Source organism: Homo sapiens, chromosome 1 (assembly GCF_000001405.40).
Source record: "Homo sapiens chromosome 1, GRCh38.p14 Primary Assembly".
Classification (NCBI taxonomy): Eukaryota; Metazoa; Chordata; class Mammalia; order Primates; family Hominidae; genus Homo; species Homo sapiens.
This window is the reverse complement of record NC_000001.11, coordinates 53399921-53420565: the sequence shown is the minus strand read 5'-3', so window position 1 is coordinate 53420565 and position 20645 is coordinate 53399921. Positions and strand designations below refer to the sequence as shown.

Genomic DNA, 20645 nt, shown 5'->3' with positions numbered 1-20645 from the left:
TTGGGTGTGATGAAAGTGTTCTGGAATTAGTGGTGATGGCGCACAATTTTGTGAATATACTAAAAACCACTGAATTGCTCACTTTAAAAGAATGAATTTCGTGGTATATGAATTCTGTTTCAACAAATCTATTATAAAACATTATGGGACTATGAAATGCACCCAAAATATTTCTTTCTAAAAGTAAATCCCTTACCTCAAGCTTCAAATATCAAGTTAAGACCACAGCTGCAGAAGTAAACATTAAATTTCATACAAACAAGTTGAAAACAACATACCATGTTGTAAAGAGTGGAAATTGCCTCTAAGGAATCAATGCTATCTTAGTCTCCCAGTGAAGCAGGGATCACTGATTTTGGAAAATCACAATGTGAAAAGTTGAGCTACCACTAATTTTTCTCTTTATTGTAAAGGAGGAAAGAGGAAATATGTGTATAGCACACAAGAAAATCTCAATTAACCAAAACGTTCAGTAATTGGTGGTTTTATTCAATTAACTGCAAGCTAACTAGAAAAACCCTTTGGGTTCCAATTCTTCATGAATTTTTGTCTGTATGTTTGATTATTTCTTTTTTATAACAAATGTGCTGACTCTGATTACTAATTCAGAGATCTGCAAAGCCTTATGGCCATCAGTTATAAAAATCAGTGCTTGTTATATAGCACCATAGGCACAGAAGGTACAGGGCTTTTGGATGGATGTACACTAACCTTAGACATAAGTGGATAAGGATGTGAGTATGTGCATATGTTTATTCCCCAGTGTTAATTTGTAATCTTGTCATTTGCCTCTTTGATAAAACATAGAGTGATGAAAAAAAAAAAGTCTGGTTACTTTGAGATTATTTATTGAGTATCTACTATATTACCTCTACAGTAATAGAGGTATTACTTCTTACTTCTGTTATACTAGACACTTTCACGTTATCTTATTGTTTTCTTTTTTTGTGTTCCAGTAGGTTGTATTTAAAAAATCAGTGCTTTCATGTAAACTATATGTGGTCCTGTGATACCATGGTGATTCAAAATAGTAGGCTATATCTGTGGAAATTATATTCCTAAATTATATTTGTATATGTCAGTGTATCTATCGTTCTGCCATAAAGAAATAAAACATGTTTTTAGAAAATTCTAGTAAAATTTAGTATTCTGGAAAGTTATTTTGTAGGTTGAAAGAACCCTGCCCCTTCACAAGGCTGGGAATTCACATACACATAATTGTTAGGCTTCAGACATGAATCGGAGCTGCTGACAGGGTGATTGTTGGTTAGTGAGAGGGGAGATGGAAATCTGGCAAAGAACCCCAGTCCTTCCTTCGCCAATAGCTTGTGTGCTCTGGCAGTGGTTGCAGCTTACTCCCTGAGATGAGGATTTGTCACTGTAATCAATGTCTTCGACCTCAAGGTCTCCCTAGCACTCCTTCACCAGGAATATAAAGGTGGTTTTTGTCATGCTAAATCAGTACCATTCGTTTTATCTGTGTTGTGTTTTGGAACTTTTGCTCTTTTAAATCATTACCTACGTTTGATCAGTTTTGTTACTATTTATAGCAGCCACTTACTGTGCCAGATATTGTGCTAAGTACTTTATATACAATGTATGGTTTATTACAACCATCTTATGAAGTTGGTATTTGTATAAGTTAGGGGGTGTGTGTGTGTGTGTGTGTGTGGCTGTAAGCAACAGAAAACCCAATACTCAACAGGTTAAACCATAAAGACATTCATTCTTAACAAGAAACCTGGAGATGGATAGACCAAGTTTGGTTCAATAGATCAGCGTTGTCCCCAGGGACCCGGGCTCTTTCAGGCCTTTGGCTCTGCTGTCTTTAGTGTGTCCGTGATGTTTCTTCTCGTGTTCATAAGACAACTGCCGCAGCACCAGACATCATGTCTCAACGGCGGCATCCAGAGTGGGAAGCAAGGGGGCAAAGGCAAACGGGCTTTCTTTTTTTCTTTCTTTCTTTCTTTTTTTTTTTTAGATGGAGTCTCGCTCTGTTGCCCAGGCTGGAGTGCAGTGGTGTGATCTTGGCTCACTGCAACCTCCCTTCTGAGGTCCAAGCCATTCTCCTGCCTCAGCCTCCCACCACAGGTGCGCACCACCTGTGATTGCAGGTGTGCACCACTACACCCAGCTAATTTTTGTATTTTTAGTAGAGATGGGGTTTCACCATGCTGGCCAGGGTGGTCTCGAACTCCTAACCTCAAGTGATCCATCCGCCTAGGTCTCCCAAAGTGCTGGGATTTCAGGCATGAACCACTGCACCCGGCCCAAATGGGCTTTCTCTTCATGTATCTCTCTTATCAGAGAGGAAAATCTTTCTCAGAAGCTTCTAGCATATTTCCCCTTCAGTCTCATTGCGTGGAATTTGATGACAAGCCTTCCCATAGGTGCTGAACAAAACTAAGATCTGTTGTCACTCATTGAAGGAGATGGAAATGGCTATTAGGTAGGCAACCAGGGTCTGTCTTGCATTATTTTCCCTATTTTACAGGTGAGGAAACTGAGGCTTAGAGAGATTAGTAAGGTCAAACTGGAAGGACAAAACCAAGATTTAAAACAGATCCGTCTGCCTCCAAAGCAGTTTGCTGTCACATTACTTGCTTTAGCCTGGAACTTGCTATAAGGCAGAGTTACTATTAATCACATCAAAAGGAATTTATTACTGAAAGTGTCAGAAAAACTGCTTTTTAACAGTGATTAATACATAATTAGGTCTCAAAGCTAGGAGTCTTTGGACAATGATGGATTCATGAATAACAGGAAACTAGGTGAGAAAAAACACAAAGACAAAGAAGTATCTTAAAAGAAAGTAAATGTTTATAATCTTTTTTGGCAGGCATCTGCAGTCTTTTAATTCTGCCCTTTCTGCCCCCGCTCCCCGCACTTGACTTTCCAGAAATGGCCAATTTCTTTCAAATGCTGTATACTGGAAAAATCCAAAGGACTCATCAGATGAACACATTTCAAAGAGCCACTACCAATTTTTTTTCTTAAGCAAAGCATCAAGCCTCTGATTTGCCGCTGATAAATTCTCTGTAAGTAGCATTATAATTAAGCACACACAAACCATTCTGTGTTTCCAAGAATACAATTGGGCTGGCACTGAATCGGTGATAGCGTGCAGGCACCGGGTGGGAGGGGTCCATTGCATCTCAACTACCATGTACCGTCTTTGTGCCGAGACCAATCCGTCTCTCTCCTTGACACCCTCTGAATCACAGGCCATTGCCCATTCACCCCATGTCTGTCACGGAGCTCTTTTATGGGGCACCTTCACTGAGCCTTGAGACTGTGGCCGTCCTGCTTCTAGGCTCTGGTCAGAGAAAATGCCAGGAAAGCAAAGTGCAACATGACTTCCTCTCTCAGCATGACTTCCTCCCACCTCCTACCAGGCTGGTGGAAAAAAAACCAATGGTGTGAAAGCAAAACTGGGAAAAGAGAGAGGCAGCTCGGGGTGGGGGTGGCAGGGGTGGCAGGAAAGGGCTGAGCGGTCAGTCAGGCTTCCAAACCTGGTTTCACTGCCCTGGCTTACAAGGCTTTGACAAGGTACCTTACCCTGACATGCCTCAGTTTCCTCCTATGTAAATGGGGAACCACAACACCAACCTTGAAGACTAATTGTGAGAATAAGCAATAATTTATGTAAAACACATGGGATATCATAAATGCTCAATATATTATAGCACTTATTATTACCAGCCTCTTAGTAAAAAGTTGACAGTCTGTTAGCACGAAACATTTAGCATGTGTTATTGTTGTGGTTGTTCTTGGATATCTACAGGATATAGTTGCTTTAAGTTTTAATGCATCAAAAAAATCCATAACCCATTTTTGGAAATTCAGCACACAGGAAAGTGAAAAGTAAGTAGCCTGGGAGTGTTGTGTGTATAGAAGTCAACAGTGGCAACCCTATCTCCCCCTGGCTTCTATGCAAACAGTTTCTTTTACAAATGTGTTTTTGGTATGCAAATCACTCTATGCAGATTTCTGTGTGTGCAAAATACAGCATAGAAAAATGGCCTTCTTGCCAAGGAAGACAGGAGATGTTGGCTGCCGTCAAATGAAATAGCAGCAAATTTTAGATTTCTTTTCCTACTGCTCTTTCTAACAATGTATGGGGTGAGCATATTTTTGGCACGTTATACTCAACTATTTTGGCTTTAGATTGTGTGTTCTTGTGATAAAAGTGTGGTTATTGAAGCATGTAACTACTTTTTGAAGCCGTAATCATGTTTAGTGGTGTTTAATTTAGAATTTCACAACAGCGTGCTACCTCAGGTTAGTTCTAAACTCACAGATGGCTTTGCATGTAAGGTTAGGCTGCTAGTGTCTGTGTACTTCCTGCTTTTCTGTAAAGACTCCAGCTTATTAAAGGATTTAATGTCATATTTTGGAACATGTTTTCTCCCTAATTAATGTATGGCTTAGTAAGTGAAAAGAATACATTTAATATTAAAATCCTCCTTTTCTTTTGGTGCACATTGAAAGCTGGCACATAATTCACAAGGAAATATTTTACCATCCAGGCAGAATAAGAATACATCTCTTTTAGGGTATTCCTTGCCATTTCCAATGCCTTTTCCCATTGGTTCTTCTGTGAGCTAATGGAAGGAAGTGAGATACAAACTTTGTCTAAGGTCACTTGTCATAGAAGGCCTGTCGACATCCAGGCCTGGGTTTTTGTTTTCCTCAATCATATGCAAGAAACACAGCACCTGTAAACCAGTGGCCCGAAACCGTGCTTTCTCTCTCTCCTCTTCTTTTTCCCTTTCCACCCAAGCATTTTTTGCTTGTTTTGGGTGTTTCGAACTTGCCAAATGAGCCACTCCTTAATTTTACAAAATCAACGTTTAATTTGAAGGCATTTTTCAAAACAAAGTACACGGCCTGAGAGAGAGTGCCAAGTGCGGCTTACCCTTATCGGACATCACCGATCGCTGGAGAGAGGGTGGAGGAGAGTGTCTCCTCTCGCTCGTTATCTGTTTACTCACTCATGCTGACCTGCATTCATTCACTCGATCCACACCCTGCTTCATAGGTGTCAGACACTGCTCCAGGCCAGGAACACAAGAAGGAAAGTAGACCCAACCATGGAGGAGTTGGCTGTCTCCTGGGAGGCAGATGTGTAGACAAGGCACACTGGCATTGACGCCACAACAGAAGTATGTACCAGGTGTGAAGGGGTGCAAAGGTGGGGTGGTTAACGCCACCACACTTGTAGTCAGGAGACGCTCTGTGGAGGAGTTTCATGTGAGCAGGTGTTCTCCAGATGGGCAGTCATAGGTGGGAAAGGAGCACTGGAGGCTGCGGAGCAGTGAGCACACGGGCACGGTAGCCTGAACCCACACACCATGGGGAGCTTTTTCAGTGGAGAAATTTCTTTGGGCTAAGAACAGAGGTGGGGGAAAGTGTGGGAAATATTCCCAACATGTCCCCGTTTTTATTTCCACTCACTACCCATGGTAGGTCACCCTATGACTGGTCCAAATTATTGCCACATCCGATAACTGGTCTTCTTGCCTCCAGCTTCTTCCTCTCTGACACAGAAGAACATTCCCAAGACCCCTGTGTTGCATTCCCCTCCTGCAGGGGAGCCACTGTGGGCAAAATTAAGTGCCTCACCCCAGAGGCTATGAGGCCTGTCATGGTGTGGTCCCTCCTGGCCACTGGCATGGGTCACTTCCCACGCACTGCCTAAACCTCACACAGCCTTTCAGGTGCCCGGCCCCTCCCCTCCTCTGTCCATGTCCATCCCACTGGCCAGCCCATCTGCCCCTCACTTGATCTTCACTTCAGCCCTTCAGGATTCCACCTGGGCCCCCTTTGTCTGGCTGGGATGGGTTCCATCCCCGTCTGCCAACAGCTATCAGGGAATAAACGAAGGCTTTAGAGTCCCAAGATGTGGGTTCCAATCCTGGCTCAGGCTTTAGACAAGTTTTTGAAACTTAGTTCCCAACAGTGGAAGATGACTGCCTCCCTTGCACAGTTGTCCTAGGATGAGCAGAGCATATTCACATCAGTCTTCAGATGTTGCAGTTGTTATGGTTACTATAATTTAGCCTCTGTGTGAAATTCAGGTCATGGTAACTACCTTTCTAAGGTATGAGGATCATGTATACTGATGGGCATGAAATATTTGTAAACAAAAAGCCCTTGGATAAAGTTTATTATTATTTGTATCTCTATCAGCATATTCATTCATTCATATTTTTTTTAATCCATCCATTCACTCATTTAACATTTACTAAATTCCCAAAAGCTGCTACATGTTAAGCTCAGCAGGGAGGTTAGAAAGATGAGTTTGAGTTTGAAATACCTCAAAAGAGCTCATAGCCTCATGGGGGAATCAGACAGGGAGGCAGTCAAGTCTCAACCCAGGAGCGGAACCCTGCAAAAAGTTGGGAGCTGTGGGATATGGGGGAACCAAGGGCTTAGGGATGAGTTCCAGAAGAACAGCCCTGTACTTGGATCTGGAAGGATGGGGAGGGAAGGGCATGACAGCTGGAGGGAACTGTATTGGTCAGTCAATATGGGCCAGAGGGGTGAGACGGCTTTTGGGAGTCAGGAAACTGCAGCATCAGACTGAGGATCCAAGCTTCTGGGGCTGTGGGTTAGGGGGAAGGAGAGTGGACGTGGGGCGGGATGCACCTGGGAGGCGGTGGCAGGTCAGGAAGGTAGACTGGGCCTGAGGGTGAAGGTTCCAGGTGCCTGTGTGCTCAGGAGGTGGGAGGACCCTGCAGCTCCAGCCAGGCTGCAATCCCTTTGAAGGCAGAGAGGTTCTGAGTCATCTTTCTACTCCCACAACGCTCACAGCACCCTCACCACAGTGCAGTCTGGAGAATCCAGAGGGGAGACATGTGATGGGCAGTTCTGAAGATGAGTAAGCAGAGCCATCCCCAGCTGCCACCCCGGGCTTTGCCTCACTGTACCCCATCACCCACCCCTCATGCCACCAAGGGGTGCAGTGGCCTGTTTTTGCCAGGGAGCTGTACCATCCATATGACAATAATACAAGTCAACAGGATGCTACAGAATTTGACTTTTGGTAAATTTTGCTGCAATGCACTTAGCTACAAAGAAGGGCAGTCCATCTACCAAAATGCTTTTGAAGTGTTCAGGAAATGACTCACTGTAAAGTTTAGGCTTTGAAAACACCTCTGTGGGACAAGGCCGACAAGTGTGTAGGTGTTAAAAGAAACACTAAGTTATTGACTAGAAAATGGGCAATAGGGTATGTGAGGATAAACTGTCAGAGGCTGGGGGTTAATGACCTTTTCTCTTCTTGCATGTGGAGAAATAAGCACTTGGAACAGAAAGGAGCTCTACCCAACTACCCGGAATGCAGGCGGGCCTGGGACTATGTGACTACCACCCTCTAAGTGAGGTTTTGAAAATAAACACTTGAAAGTCTGCCCAGATTGTTGTAATCTTATTAATCTAACAAAGAGACTCAGTGGCTGCCTTAACCAGGGGTTCAGTGTTTACCATGTAATTTGTAACAAGCTGATAAACACACCCTGGCCCCACTTGAAGAAAAATCTCCTGCTCCCTGCAAGGAAAGCAGTTGGCAGAAAAACAGTAATCGAGGATTAGAAACCAAAAAGACCATGCCTTAGGTTCCAGGCCACCTCCCCTGCCCCCTGGACTGCCAGCCCCCTGCCATCTCCAAGTTCAGAGGTGTTGTGTGTGGCTTCTCCTGGTCTCGCTCTCCTAAGATCTGTCAGATGCTCTGGCCCTTCCCAGTGGCCGGACTGTCCATGGACAAGGAGCTCCCTGTGTGGGATTTCTGCCTTGGGGTCTTTCTGCAGGGTCTGGGGCCATTCTCCATTCTGTGGGGGAATTTAGGCCTGTCTTCTGAGCTGACCCTTCTCGCTGGTCTGAGGGCATTCCAGAGGGCAGTGGTATTGGACAGCAGTGTTGAGCATGGCTCTTCTTGGAGCTCTTGGTTGCATTCCACAGGGCAGCCTCTGGTGATGCAGCAGAAACGGGATTTATTGGAAGAGCAGCGGGCAGGAGCCAGGGCGGTTATGCCAAGTTAGCACAGGGACAGTCTACTGATCCCCCACACTGGTCAGCCACCCTTCCCCATGCGGCCACCAGCCCTGCAAGGCATCTCCAAGAAGGGTCCCGGCACCTTTGTCTCGCTCCCTCAGGATCAAAGTCCTAAGCCTCCCCCAGGCCCACCTTCTGCCTCCTTCATGCAGGGTAAGCCCTGCCTCCCACAGGGACCCCCACAGAGGGAAAGACATTTGGATGCTGGGTAAGTTAAGAGATGAAAAATGCCCACTTCACTCCTCTGAATCACCATGCCTAACATTTACTGACTGCTTTGCCATCCTTTAAATGGTATAACTCATTGAGTCCTCACAACAGGCCGAGAAGAAATGGCTGTTTTTACAGATGAGAAACTGCGGCACAGAGAAACTGAGTAACAAGCCCAAGGTCACACGGCTGGGAAATGGCAGAGCTGTGAGCCAAGCTTCACCTTGGGGTTTGAACAGAGGTCCATCTGTTGCCTACAGAGGCTCTGGAAGCTGCTTGTAAACCTGACCTAAATGGGGCTGCCCTTATCTCCAGGTCATCTGTGTCTCTGCTGCTAACTCTTGCCCTGCTTGCGTGCCCTGTTTTGGCTTGAGTCTAGGCCCACTGACTCCCTGACCCATCTCCACCATCCAGGATCTTACTTGCTCCCAGTCACAGCCCTGGCCCTCTCACCCCCTATGTCTGGGCAGGGTCCCTCTTGTATTTCACCCTGGTTCTTGAGAGTGTGTGGCCCACATCAGAAACACACAGAATGCCAAATGCCATGGTTCATTCTAAGTGATACATTCTTCCACGGTAACTGCCCTATCAGGGCGTGCTTCAGGATTTGAGTCACTCAGTGAAAAAGCATACTAACCTTTACAGACCTAAGGTTTGTAGTTTTTTTTTTTTTTTAAAGTGTCATCAATCAGTGATTGTAACATGTACAACAACAGAATTGGACATGTAGGGGTGTTTACTGATTTAAAAAGATTGCCATGCGTGGAATCTGGCACACAGTGGGCACCTGATCGATATTTGCTGCATTAAGGAATGAGAGTCAGGGGCCTGCGACGCCGGTGGTTGCAGCATTTATTGAAGGATTTACGTTCTTTTTTGCTCATGTTATGAACAAAGCCTCATTTTCAGGTTTTTTTTTAAGTCCTTTCATTAATTTATTTCTCCTTTTCTTACCTCCTTTTAGATTATTGATTACCTCCACTTTTTTGTGTGCATGGCCAGATGGCAGAGATGCTGTTACAGAGCGGAGCATCTGCCTGGGGCATGTTTCTGCACAAAAGCAGCATTCTACCAGCGACTGGAAGGTTGTTTAGGGGGCCACCTCTCCCAAGGGTCTAAACCCCATAAAAGCAGTTTCCTGAAAACTTCTCTAAGGTTGCCTCTAATGCTGGAAGTTCCTTGAGGGTAGCTACATGTGCTGGCCCCAAGCCCACCAGCCAGCCTAGGAAAGGACTTTTTTGCTTAGCCTTCATTTTAGTGACACTCCTCCCTGCTCTCCCCCACCAGCCACACACACACACACGCAGCGTGAGAGAATTCTTCATGTTCCACGCCATTACTGAAATCTAAATGTGACTATTTAGACTCAAAATCGACCAGGCGGGAACCGTGTTAGTCAGTTTGTCTTATTCTGCAGAGCCCATATCCCACTGTGAATTCTCAGCAAGACATCATAATTATCCATAATTAGATAAAGTCTGAACATTAAACCCGTCCTTCTAAAAACAAAAACTGGTGGTTTGCAACACACTAGATCTTCTGCAGTCCAAAGTTGCGGCTGGAAGGAAGCTGGCAAACTCCTTAAATGCAATGGTGAATAAAGTTTTTGAAATGACAATGGGCCAATACTTTAAAAATAAATCTGTTTCGAATGAAAAGTAATTTAGGATTTAAGACTCCAGTAGTGATGCAAAAAGGAAGGGAAAGGCCTCAAGACACCTTTTGCTAAGTCGGAGCGATTGAATTCATTCCCACCAGCTTGATCCTTTCCTGAAGGCAGCCAGGGAGTGCGTCCAGTCACCCTCAAACATCTCATCAATCTCCTGCCACAAAAATGAATCAGCATTGCACACAGACCCTCATCCTACAGCCCCTCAGCAAAAGCACCTGCCAGGCTGGGTTAGAAAGGAGTGACACGGCCGGCCACAGATGGAAGTCCCCAAGCTGCAGCACTAGGGGGCCAGCGGGAGGAGCGGAGCAGCCCCCACCGTGAGTGCCTCGTCTCCTCCGGGACCTGTCGGTCTCACATTCCCTCCAGCATAGATCTGTCATATCCTGTTGTCAGCGGCAGAGTGGGTGGGCAGATGTGTGCATGGCCAAACAGCAGAGATGCTGTCACAGAGCGGAGCATCTGCCTGGGGCATGTTTCTGCACAAAAGCAGCATTCTACCAGCGACTGGAAGGTTGTTTAGGGGGCCACCTCTCCCAAGGGTCTAAACCCCATAAAAGCAGTTTCCTGAAAACTTCTCTGAGGTTGCCTCTCATGCTGGAAGTTCCTTGAGGGTAGCTACATGTGCTGGCCCCAAGCCCAACCAGCCTAACACCTGGTACATCAGGGCTGAGTTACGCATCTGGTGCCTGCATTGAAACCTCTGTGGCCCAACTGCAGCAGTGTTTTTCTGCCCCGACAGGACTTATGAGAGTCTCCTGGGGTCCCTGCGTCTCCCTGTTCGGCAAACACAGATCTAGGGTCAGACAGTTGTGGGTTCAGATTCCAGCACGGCCACTCAGGCAAGCTCCCTAGCCTCTCCCCAGCCTGGTGAGAAGGGCAGCGCTCACCTTTAGAGGTGATTATGCAGCACAGAAGCAGCACATGGGAGCACCAGACATGGCAGCCAGCACGCTCCAGGTGTCCTCCTTACTAGATTCTGTTTGTTGGCAGGATCTTTAAAAAGACCAGCCATGTGGCATTTCAGAGACTACAGAGATCAGAAACAGAGACAAGTCACTAGGGAGAGGGGCCTTCCCCGACTCCCAAATGCACGGGGATTTCTCCTTTAGGTGAGCTCTCCAGCGGCCTTCAAACTCCCAGCTGGGACCTGCAGCAGAGCCTATGCCCCATCTTGGGGTTACCTAGTCCACTCCTGGGGTCACCTAGCCTCCTCGTGGGGTCCCCTAGTCCCCTCATAGGGTCACGTAGCCCTCTCGTGGGGTCCTCTAGCCCCCTTGTGGGGTCTCCTAGCCCCCTGTGTGGAGTCCCATAGCCCCCTGCATGGGGTACCCTAGCTCCCTCAGGGGATTCCCTAGCCCCCTCATGAGGTCCCCTAGCTCCCTCGTGGGGTCCCTTAGCCCTCTCATGAGGTCCCCTAGCTCCCTCAGGGGATTCCCTAGCCCCCTGTTTGGGGTCCCCTAGCTCCCTCATGGGGTCACCTAGCCCCCTCATGAGGTCCCCTAGCTCCCTCGTGGGGTCCTTTAGCCCCCTCGTGGGGTTCCCTAGCTCCCTCAGGGGATTCCCTAGCCCCCTCATGAGGTCCCCTAGCTCCCTCGTGGGGTCCCTTAGCCCCCTCATGAGGTCCCCTAGCTCCCTCAGGGTATTCCCTAGCCCCCTGTTTGGGGTCCCCTAGCTTCCTCATGGGCTCACCTAGCCCCCTCATGAGGTCCCCTAGCTCCCTCATGGGGTCCCTTAGCCCCCTCGTGGGGTTCCCTAGCTCCCTCGTGGGGTCCCCTAGCTCCCTCGTGGGGCCACCTAGCCCCCTCGTGGGGTCCCCTAGCCCCCTCATGGGGTCACCTAGCCCCCTTGTGGGGTCCCCTAGCTCCCCCATGGGGTCGCCTAGCTCCCTCGTGGGGTCACCTAGCCCCCTTGTGGGGTCCCTTAGCCCCCTCATGGGGTCCACTAGCTCCCTCGTGGGGTACCCTGGCCCCCTTTTGGGGTCACCTAGCTCCCTAGTGGGGTCCCTTAGCCCCCTCATAGGGTCACCTAGCTCTCAGCAGCACATCAGCCTTGCCCGGGAAGGCAGGTGGGTAGTGCAGGCCAGGGACCTTGCCTCACAGGCCCACTGTTCCACAGTTCCCTGTACAGGGCCCATGCTTAGAGCAGCTCTTTTAGGGTCAGGCTACTGTTGACTGGGAAGCCCCAAAAAGATTGGGCCTGAGTCATCCTGGCACCATAGTTACTGTCTGGAGACTTAAGGGATGAGTCTCATTTGTGACTTTCTTCAGATTCTGCAAAATTTATAGCCTGTGAGTCTGTCCTGCCTCCCACCCTCCTTTCCTCATGGGCCCAGACTCCGCCCCGACACTGCCCCAGTTTTGCCTCTCACCCACCCAGCAAACCCTACCCAGGGACAGTCTGATGGCCTCACCTTCTCCATGCCTACCCAGGCTACTGAGTGCCACTGGGTTCTCAGCACTGCCAGACTGTTCAGAACTGTCATCTCCCTGTTCCACCCAACCTCCATTCAACCCTCACTCCCCTCTCAAACCCCTGCCCACTCCCCTCAGCAAGTGACTTTGGCCCTCACTCCATGGGGACTACAGAGATGCATTCCTCCTCCCCACCTTGCTCTCCCAGCTTCTCTTCTGCACCTACACCATCTCTATCTCCCTCTGTCTTAGTCTGCTTCCATTTCTATGAAGGAATAGTCAAGGCTGGGTGATTTATAAAGAAAAGAGGTTTATTTAACTCATGGTTCCTCAAACTGTACAAGAAGCATGGTGCCAGCATCTGCTTCTGGTGAGAGCTTCAGGGAGCTTCCACTCACAGCAGAAGGTGAAGGGAGCAGGTATCACCTGGTTAGAGAGAAGGAAACAGAGAAGGGATCTTTTAAACAACCAGACCTCCAGGTAAACTCATACAGCGAGCACTCATTCATTACAGCAAGGACACTGCAAAGCGATTCAAGAGGGATCCACTCCGATAACCCAAACTCCTGCCGCCAGGCCCCACCTCCAATACTGGGCATCAAATTTCCACAGGAGATTTGGAGGGGACGGATTTCCAAACTATATCACCTTTCCTGCCAGGCACTGGCAGGGGGTCCAGCCTCAGTCTCCCCATCCTCATCCTCTCTAGCCTTCCCTGGGGAATCTCTACCACTGCTCAGCTGTTTCTCCGCTGTGTTCCCAGGCTAAGCTGCTGGCACCACAAACCACCTTCCTGTGCCGATTTGAGACCTGGGAGTCATCCTTGGTTCCCCCTCCCTCCCCACAGGCTGTCTATTCCCTCTTCTGCACAGGATTCCTTCTCTCTTCCCATGGCCATCCTCACCTTGGTTCAGGCACCCTGCCCCCAGCCTGGCCTCCTCCCCCAGTCCTCCCTCTAGGCTGGATTGCATATCTGTCCAAGGTCAGACAATCATCCTTACCCAAGACCCTCAGGACTCCCCTAGCCTCCTGAGTGGGGTCTGCCCCTGACTTTAGCAGTACACCCATGGCCCTCTGTCATCTGGTCTCCATGACCACTCTGACTTAGGTCCTCCCCACTCTCACCCCTCCAGCTTCCCTCGGCCCTCTCCTAATTCTCTGCCATGAAACATGCAGGTTCCTCTGCCTGGAAGACCTTCCTCCCCTCCAAGCCCCCTCTTCAGCTGACCCACTCCTCTCCATCCTTCCAGACCCGGCTCATGCATCAGCACCTCCTGGGGCTATCCCCAGCCTCTAGGGTTAAGGTTATATAGCCCCTGACAATTCTTCTGTCTAGCCTGGATCACAAGGTGCTATTGTCATCTGTTTACACATCTGTCTTCCACATAGCCAGAGTGTTCCTCCAAGTCAGGAGCTGTGCCCCATTCACCTCTGGGTCCCCTAAGCCTGGCACTTGGTGAGTGGTCAGTGGCTAACTTGTGATGGAACTCAGGCTGTAAGATGTATATCCAATGTCCATACCTCTGGCCTGGCCAGTAAAATAACGTTTCCTGCTCATGCAGAAGGACTGTCTCCAGCTTCATCTTGTCTCCAACTCTGATGGCAGGAGCGTGGACTGCAGGGTCAGATAGTCCCAGGTTCAGGCCCTGACTTGGCCAATTATTAGTGATGGATTTTGGGCAAGACACTCAACCTCTCTGAGCCTTAGTTTCCCCATGTGTAAAATGGAGATGGTAATGCCTACCTCATAAGGTTCTGGTATAAATTAAATGACATGATGCAATGGGACCTGGTAGAGGCCCTGCATGTAGTAGACACATAAAAGTGGGAGCTATCACTCAGGTGGGCTTTTTAGTAACATACAGTAAATTAAATAGAATAGGGCTGGATTACATTAGCTACAGAAACAAGCCAGGTGCAATGGAGTGAGCCCCAAGATAAAAACAAAAAGACCTCAGTCCCACCTCTGTCACCAAACTAATGTCCTCACTGGGGTCCTCACTTTTTAAAAAAGGGATGGGCCAGGCACGGTGGCTCACACCTATAATCCCAACACTTTGGGAGGCCAAGGCAGGAAGATTGCGTGAGCCCAAGAGTTCGAGACCAACCTGGGCAATGTAGTGAGACGCACCTATAGTCCCCAGCTACTCAGGAAGCTGAAGCAGGAGGATCACTTGAGGCTGGGAGGTCTAGGCTGCAGTAAGTCATGATCGTGCCACTGAACTCCAGCCTGGGTGACAGAGAGAGACCCTGTCTCAAATTTTAAAAAAGGGGACAGCTTGGTTAAAATGGTAACCAGGTTAACTCCCAGTCACAAGTCCTCTGATTCTAAGATTCGTTGACTCTACAATTTCATAAACTGCCATATGTAGCCTGAGGCACGACTAAGGTCATTAAGGAGAAATGCTCAGAAAACCTAATTCTATTGAAGGGCAAAAGACTAGCATTAGAAGGCCAGGTTAGGCGATAAGTCCTTACCTGCAACTATTTCCTTCCACAGGAGAATGTGGCTTTCCTCCTGAAGCGTTCAGAGGTAGTAATGCTTAACACAGCTGTTTTGTGAGTCCCAACAATGCTTAACCTTCCCGTAATCACCGTGAATGGCTGGCAAGAGCTTATGCCTGAGAAATGCAGCCTTCTAGACAAAATTTTCAGGGAAATGGAGGCTTTAGACATCACAGTGTTTTCAAATACCATTATTACTGCTCTATAAATATCCCACGCCCACAGTGTATCAGGTGCCACATGGGAAATATTGGATTCAGTTGGAGATTTTCTTAAAAGACACATAACAGTACCATATGCCAGTCATCTTGTATAATATTTATGTACATGCTGCAGAAGCAAAGATTAGCTATGTCAACATGTATAGAAAAATCCCACAAAACAGAGTCCGTGGGATGTGTATTATCTGTACTTATGATCAAAAGCATTTGCTGACTTTCTTCACTACAAGAGCTATTTCACCCATAAACTACAGAAAGGTTAGAGGAGCAGGAATGAATAGAGTAATAACCAGGTGGAAATCATCAGCGATCCCTGCAATCTCCTACTAGTTTAGAGGCTCTGCAGGTGAAGAAAGCAGTTCCAGAACTGTGAACAGCAATTAACCCTTCCATTTACTTTGAATGAATGATATTTAAACACACTTTACTCCTTTTCAACGGTCCTCACCAGCACACCAAAGGGGACATTGCTTGGAGAAAAAATATTTTCTTGGAGACATGCAAGAGGAAAAATTATTTCCACTAGTATGATCCTAAGTGCAAAATTGTTCATGAGCACTGTGCAAGTAACCAGCCAGTTGCTTTAGGTAGATGGGTGGTATGAACTGAATTACGTCCTCCCCACTCATATGTTGAAGCCCTCACTCCCAACGTGATGGTATTTGGAGACGGGGCCTTTGGGAAGTTCTCAGAATTAGATGAGGTCCTTAGCGTAAGGCCCTCACAGTGAGATTGGCGCCCTTATGAGAAGAGACACCAGAGCTCTCTTTCGCTCGCTCTCTCTCACTCTCTCGCTCTGCCAGTGAGGACACAGCAAGAAGGTGGCGGTCCACAATCCATAAGAAAGCCCTCAGCAGAACTCAACCATGCTGGCACCCTGATCTCAAACTCTCAGCCTCCTGAAATGCAAGAAAATAAATGTCTGTTGTTTAAGCCACCCAGTCTATGCTATTTTGTTATGACAGTCTGATCTAATACAATGAGGTTCTTTCCCTCTGAGCTTTCATTGTAGATTGTGACAAGATCAAAATTCAAGATCACATTAAGCAAACAGACACACTAGAGTGGCCGAATCTTGGTAGAGTTTGTAGCTAAGAACTGAAAGGACATGTGACTATCTCTTAGGGCATTAATCCTGAGCTAAAAATATGAAATTGTCCTATTATTTGGAGAACTGAGCTGTACTAAACAGACTAATGCCAGCAAATGGTTTGAAATCCAGTAGCAATATTGTGGAGCCCAGGCAGGTGGAGTGGGGAGAGAAAGAACAACTTAGTTTATTGTGAATTGCATTTCTCTTTACTGTGCAGTTTTATTTTTAATTGCAAAGTGTCTGGTTGAGCAGTTATTACTGAAATTTATTTTTGTAATAAAAGCTCTTCGTTAAATCACAGTTTTATGAACAGTGACTTAAACCAGATTTTGCTGTAATAAATAAGATATTGAAGTGCTTTTAAAATTTGAAAAAGCTCTCTGTGGCTCACCCCAAATGTTAATGTAAATGTTAGGCAGAAATAACAGTGACCTAACGGGATTGTACAAGAACTTGCCAGGTGCTTGTGCTGAGCATGCTGAGGGCTCGTCTGGCCTTACTGGCCTGGTGTTCTGGATTTAATTTGATCCCCAAATAGCTGTGTGGCCTGGGACAGGTCCCTTTCCCTCTCTGGGCTTTAGTTTCCTCATGTGTTAAAAGAAAGCAAAACCAAAAAAGACAAGAAGGCTGAATCTTTCTGCTCTGACATGCTTCTCAGGAATATGGCTCCACTCAAAAGAAGGCAGCTCTGAAAGGTGAACTCCCAGACTGGGCAGAAAATGAAGGGTTAGGGGCAGAAGTGAAGCATGAAAATCCCTTGCCCAGGTGTGGAAGGCCCAGTGTGTCACACTGACACAGGATTCTTCCAGCTGGAAACCTCTGTGGTCAGTGGCACCTCTGCTGGGCTTCACTGGGCTCTGGGCTGGCTGCTGGACTCCCTCCACCCATTCGGTCCAGTGGGCCCCGCTCAGCTCCAGCTACTGACCCAGACCCCACACCCCCGGCTCTGTGCTCTGCCCACAACTGGTCCCAGCTTGCCACCTTGAACAGCTTCCGCCTTGGGGCCAGCATCTAGGCAAGGGGGATACAGTAGTGCCCGAAAACTCTCAGACGTCAGCAACACGGAGTCCCAAGGGATATGGCTTTTACCTGGAGAGTCCGGAGGCCTGAACCCCCAAGAGCTGTTACAGTTCTCTCTCCTTCCCACCCCTGCAGTGCAGTGAATGGTATGGGGGGTTGTTACGAGGGGCATGTAACAGGGGGTATGTTATGGCTCATTTGTGTTACAGCTTGCTTGTTCCTGCCATCTGCATGCTTTGGCAAACAATGGCATGTCACAGCTTATTCAGTCCCTTTGCCCCATTCTGGCCCAGGGCTCCTGGGCTGGCCTGGCCCAGCTGCTGCTTCCATCATGTGGGGAAGCCACCCCAAGCCAGCAGAGTGTTACAGCTCATTTCCCACCCCCGTTCAGTGGGTCCTGGGTTTCTGTCCCATGTCCAAGAAGAGTGAGGGTTATGTAGACAACTAGAGAGTGAGCAAGGTGGAGAAGAGTTTTATTGAGTGACAGAACAGTTCTCAACACTGGAGGGGACCTGAAGTGGGTAGCCCCTACCTGAAGGTGGGTAGTCCCAAGGTGTGGCTGAGTCGGGAGTTTTAATGGGCTCAGAATAGGGGGAGAGCCTCCTGATTGATCCATGGGTGGGCCTGGAAGAAGCACCATTGGATTGACTAAAAGGCATCAAGGAAGTTCTCACTCTGGGTTGTGGACTCTGCCTGGAACTGACAGCCTAGTTTTCAGGCTTTAAGCTGTCTTTGTCTTGAAGGTCAGGTTTCACCGGGGACCCATCCTGTCTGCCTAGGAACCCATCTGTTTCTGGCTGCTATCAACATGATTACCCTTCGTAGAGGCCCAGCTCCAGCCCCCACGTGGTGCTTGTGGCCAGGCATGTCCAAGGGCGTACATGGGAAAGTCCAGGCACAGGCGGAAGGCCCCAGGCCAAGGTACCCACAAGGGAGCCTCACATAGGAGTGGCCTGGGGAAGCAGGACGTTCAGAGGTGCCTCTGCAATGGGAGACTGGGTAAGAACCATGCTCCTGCAAAGGCTGGGCAGGTGCCAGGTGGGGGCTCATGGTTTAGTGTGCTGACTCCCGTCCACCCCATCCTTGAGCCAGCTCCTGGCAGCCAGTGCTGCCAGCCCAAAGGTGCAGGCAGAGGAGTCTCCAGTTGCCTTCCCACCCATCAGGGCTTGGGGTAGATTAGTTTGCTGGGCTGTCATAACGAAATCCCACCATTAAGACTGCGGCTTAAACAACAGACATTATTTTCTCACAATTCTGAAGGCTGGAAGTCTGAGATCAAGGTGTTGGCAGGGTTGGTTTCTTCTGTGGCCCCTCTCCTGGGCTCATACATGACTGTCTTCTTCCCGTGTCTACACATGGGCTTCCCCCTGGGCGTGCCTGTGTCCACATTTCCTCTTTTTATAAAGACACCAGTCATATTGGATTAGGGCCCCTCCTAATAACCTCATTTTAATTTAATTACCTCTTTAAAGACTTTGTCTCTATGTATAGTCACATTCTGAGCTACTGGGTGTTAGGATTTCAACATGTGAGTTTTAGGTGGCCCAGATAAGCCCCTCACAGGGGGCTGTGGATGCACTGATGGGACGTTGAATTCATTTTCTAGGGGGTGCCATAAGAAATCACCACAGACTGGGAGGCTTTCAACAACAGAAATGGATGTTCTCATAGTTCTGGAGGCTGCAAGCCTGAAATCAAGGTGCTGTCAGGGCCACACTCTCGGAAGACTCTAGAAGAGGTTCCTTCCTTGCCTCTTCTAGCTTTTGTCAGTGGCTGGCAGTCCTCAGCATTCCTGGGCTGTAGGCACATGGCTCTTAGTCCCTGCCTCTGTCTTCAAGATGGTGTTCTCCCCTGTCTGTGTACCCCGCACCTTCACGCAGTGTCTTCCTCTGTGTCGTGTCTAAACTTCCCTCTTATTACAAGGTCCACCCTATTCCAGTGTGACCTCACTTAACTTCATTACCTCTGCAAAGACCCGACTCCCAAATAAAGTCACATTCACGGTCACTGGGGGTTGGGACCTCAGCATATCCTTTGGGGGGACCCAATTCAGCCTACAGTGAACCCCTTCTCCTCATGCCACTGCCCCTACACCCTCACAGCTCCTCAGATATCATTATTTTGCTCATGGCTTCAGGAAGTGAGCTAACCAGCTTCCCCGGATTTGCAGCTGTTTTGAATGACTAACATCATTCTCTCTCCCTGCTCCCTCTTCTCTCCCTCTTTGTGTCTCTTTTCTTCTTCTCCTCCTTCCCCTCTCTTGTCCTCCCCCATTTTTGTCTCTCAGCTCTGCCTCTCTCCTCTTCTTTCTTCCTTGCTTCTCCCCTTCCCCTCACCCAGGCTCCTCTCCTGTCTGTCCCTCCGCTCTGAGGTGCCCAGAGGACACCGTGGTTTCTCAGAGGCGACGACCGGGAAGAGTGTTTCTCGGCTGTTAGAAATGTCCTGAGTCTTGGCTTTGCTCTGGTGACCACACCATGGCTTTCTTTCCCAGTAGAGTGGGTCTGTGTTTTTCCAAGCATTTTACAATAGTATTTGGCTTTTCACTCTTTTGAATTCTAACGCTCTGGAATTAATAAAGTTAAAAAACAAAACAAAACACTATTTTCTTCTTCTAAGGAAGGCCCGGCTGAGAGGGGTCAGTTAATTCAGCCTGAGTCTGCCTGCTCTGTGTCTGCTGGTCCTTCTGGTAACAGGAGCCTCCTCCATGTTTTTGCTAGGCTGCTCTTTGCTATCTGGTTGGTCTATTCCGGGCCCAATTTTTGGTTTATCACCCTCTTTGTGGAATATAATGCATAAGTCCTAAATAAACTATTAGCAAACCAAATCTACCAGTGTATTAAAAGAATACTAGGCCATAACCAAGTAGAGCTTATTATAAGAACTCAAGGAAGATTCCAAGAAATGAACCATTGATATAATACCACAGCTGAATCTCAAAATAATTATTCTGCATGACAGAAGCCACACCAAACAAGAGTATATATGAAACTCTAGAAAGTGCAAACTAATCTGTAGTGACCGGAAGCAGATCAATGGTAGCCTGGAGGAGGGGGTGGGGTTTCGGGGTGGGGTGCCAAGGTGGGGCCAAGAGGAAGCTTTGGGGGATGATAGATACGCCCACGCTCTTGATGGTGGTGATGGATTCAGGGAGGGTATGCACATAACCAAACACCAAATCACACGCTGAAAAGATCAAGGAAGTTTACACATGTGTAGGGTCCAGCCCTATGGGGCTTAGCGGGTGCTCTCCCCATGTGCCGAGACGAGAGATGGTAAGAAATAAAGACATAAGACAAAGAGATAAAGAGAAAACAGCTGGGCTCAGGGGACCACTACCACCAAGATGTGGAGACTGGTAGTGGCCCTGAATGACTGGGCGTGCTGATATTTATTGCATACCAGACAAGGGGGCAGGGTAAGGAGAGTAAGTTGTCCAAGTGATTGATAAGGTCAAGCAA

The 20645-nt window shown here is 48.0% G+C and overlaps 1 annotated feature.

Annotated features, from left to right (window-relative positions):
- Positions 11499 to 12094: an enhancer, noted in NCBI's record as "H3K27ac-H3K4me1 hESC enhancer chr1:53874144-53874739 (GRCh37/hg19 assembly coordinates)". NCBI's record gives its function as "activates a minimal SCP1, AML or CMV promoter by ChIP-STARR-seq in primed H9 embryonic stem cells {active_cell/tissue: H9 hESC(primed)}" and the evidence as "EXISTENCE:reporter gene assay evidence [ECO:0000049][PMID:30033119]".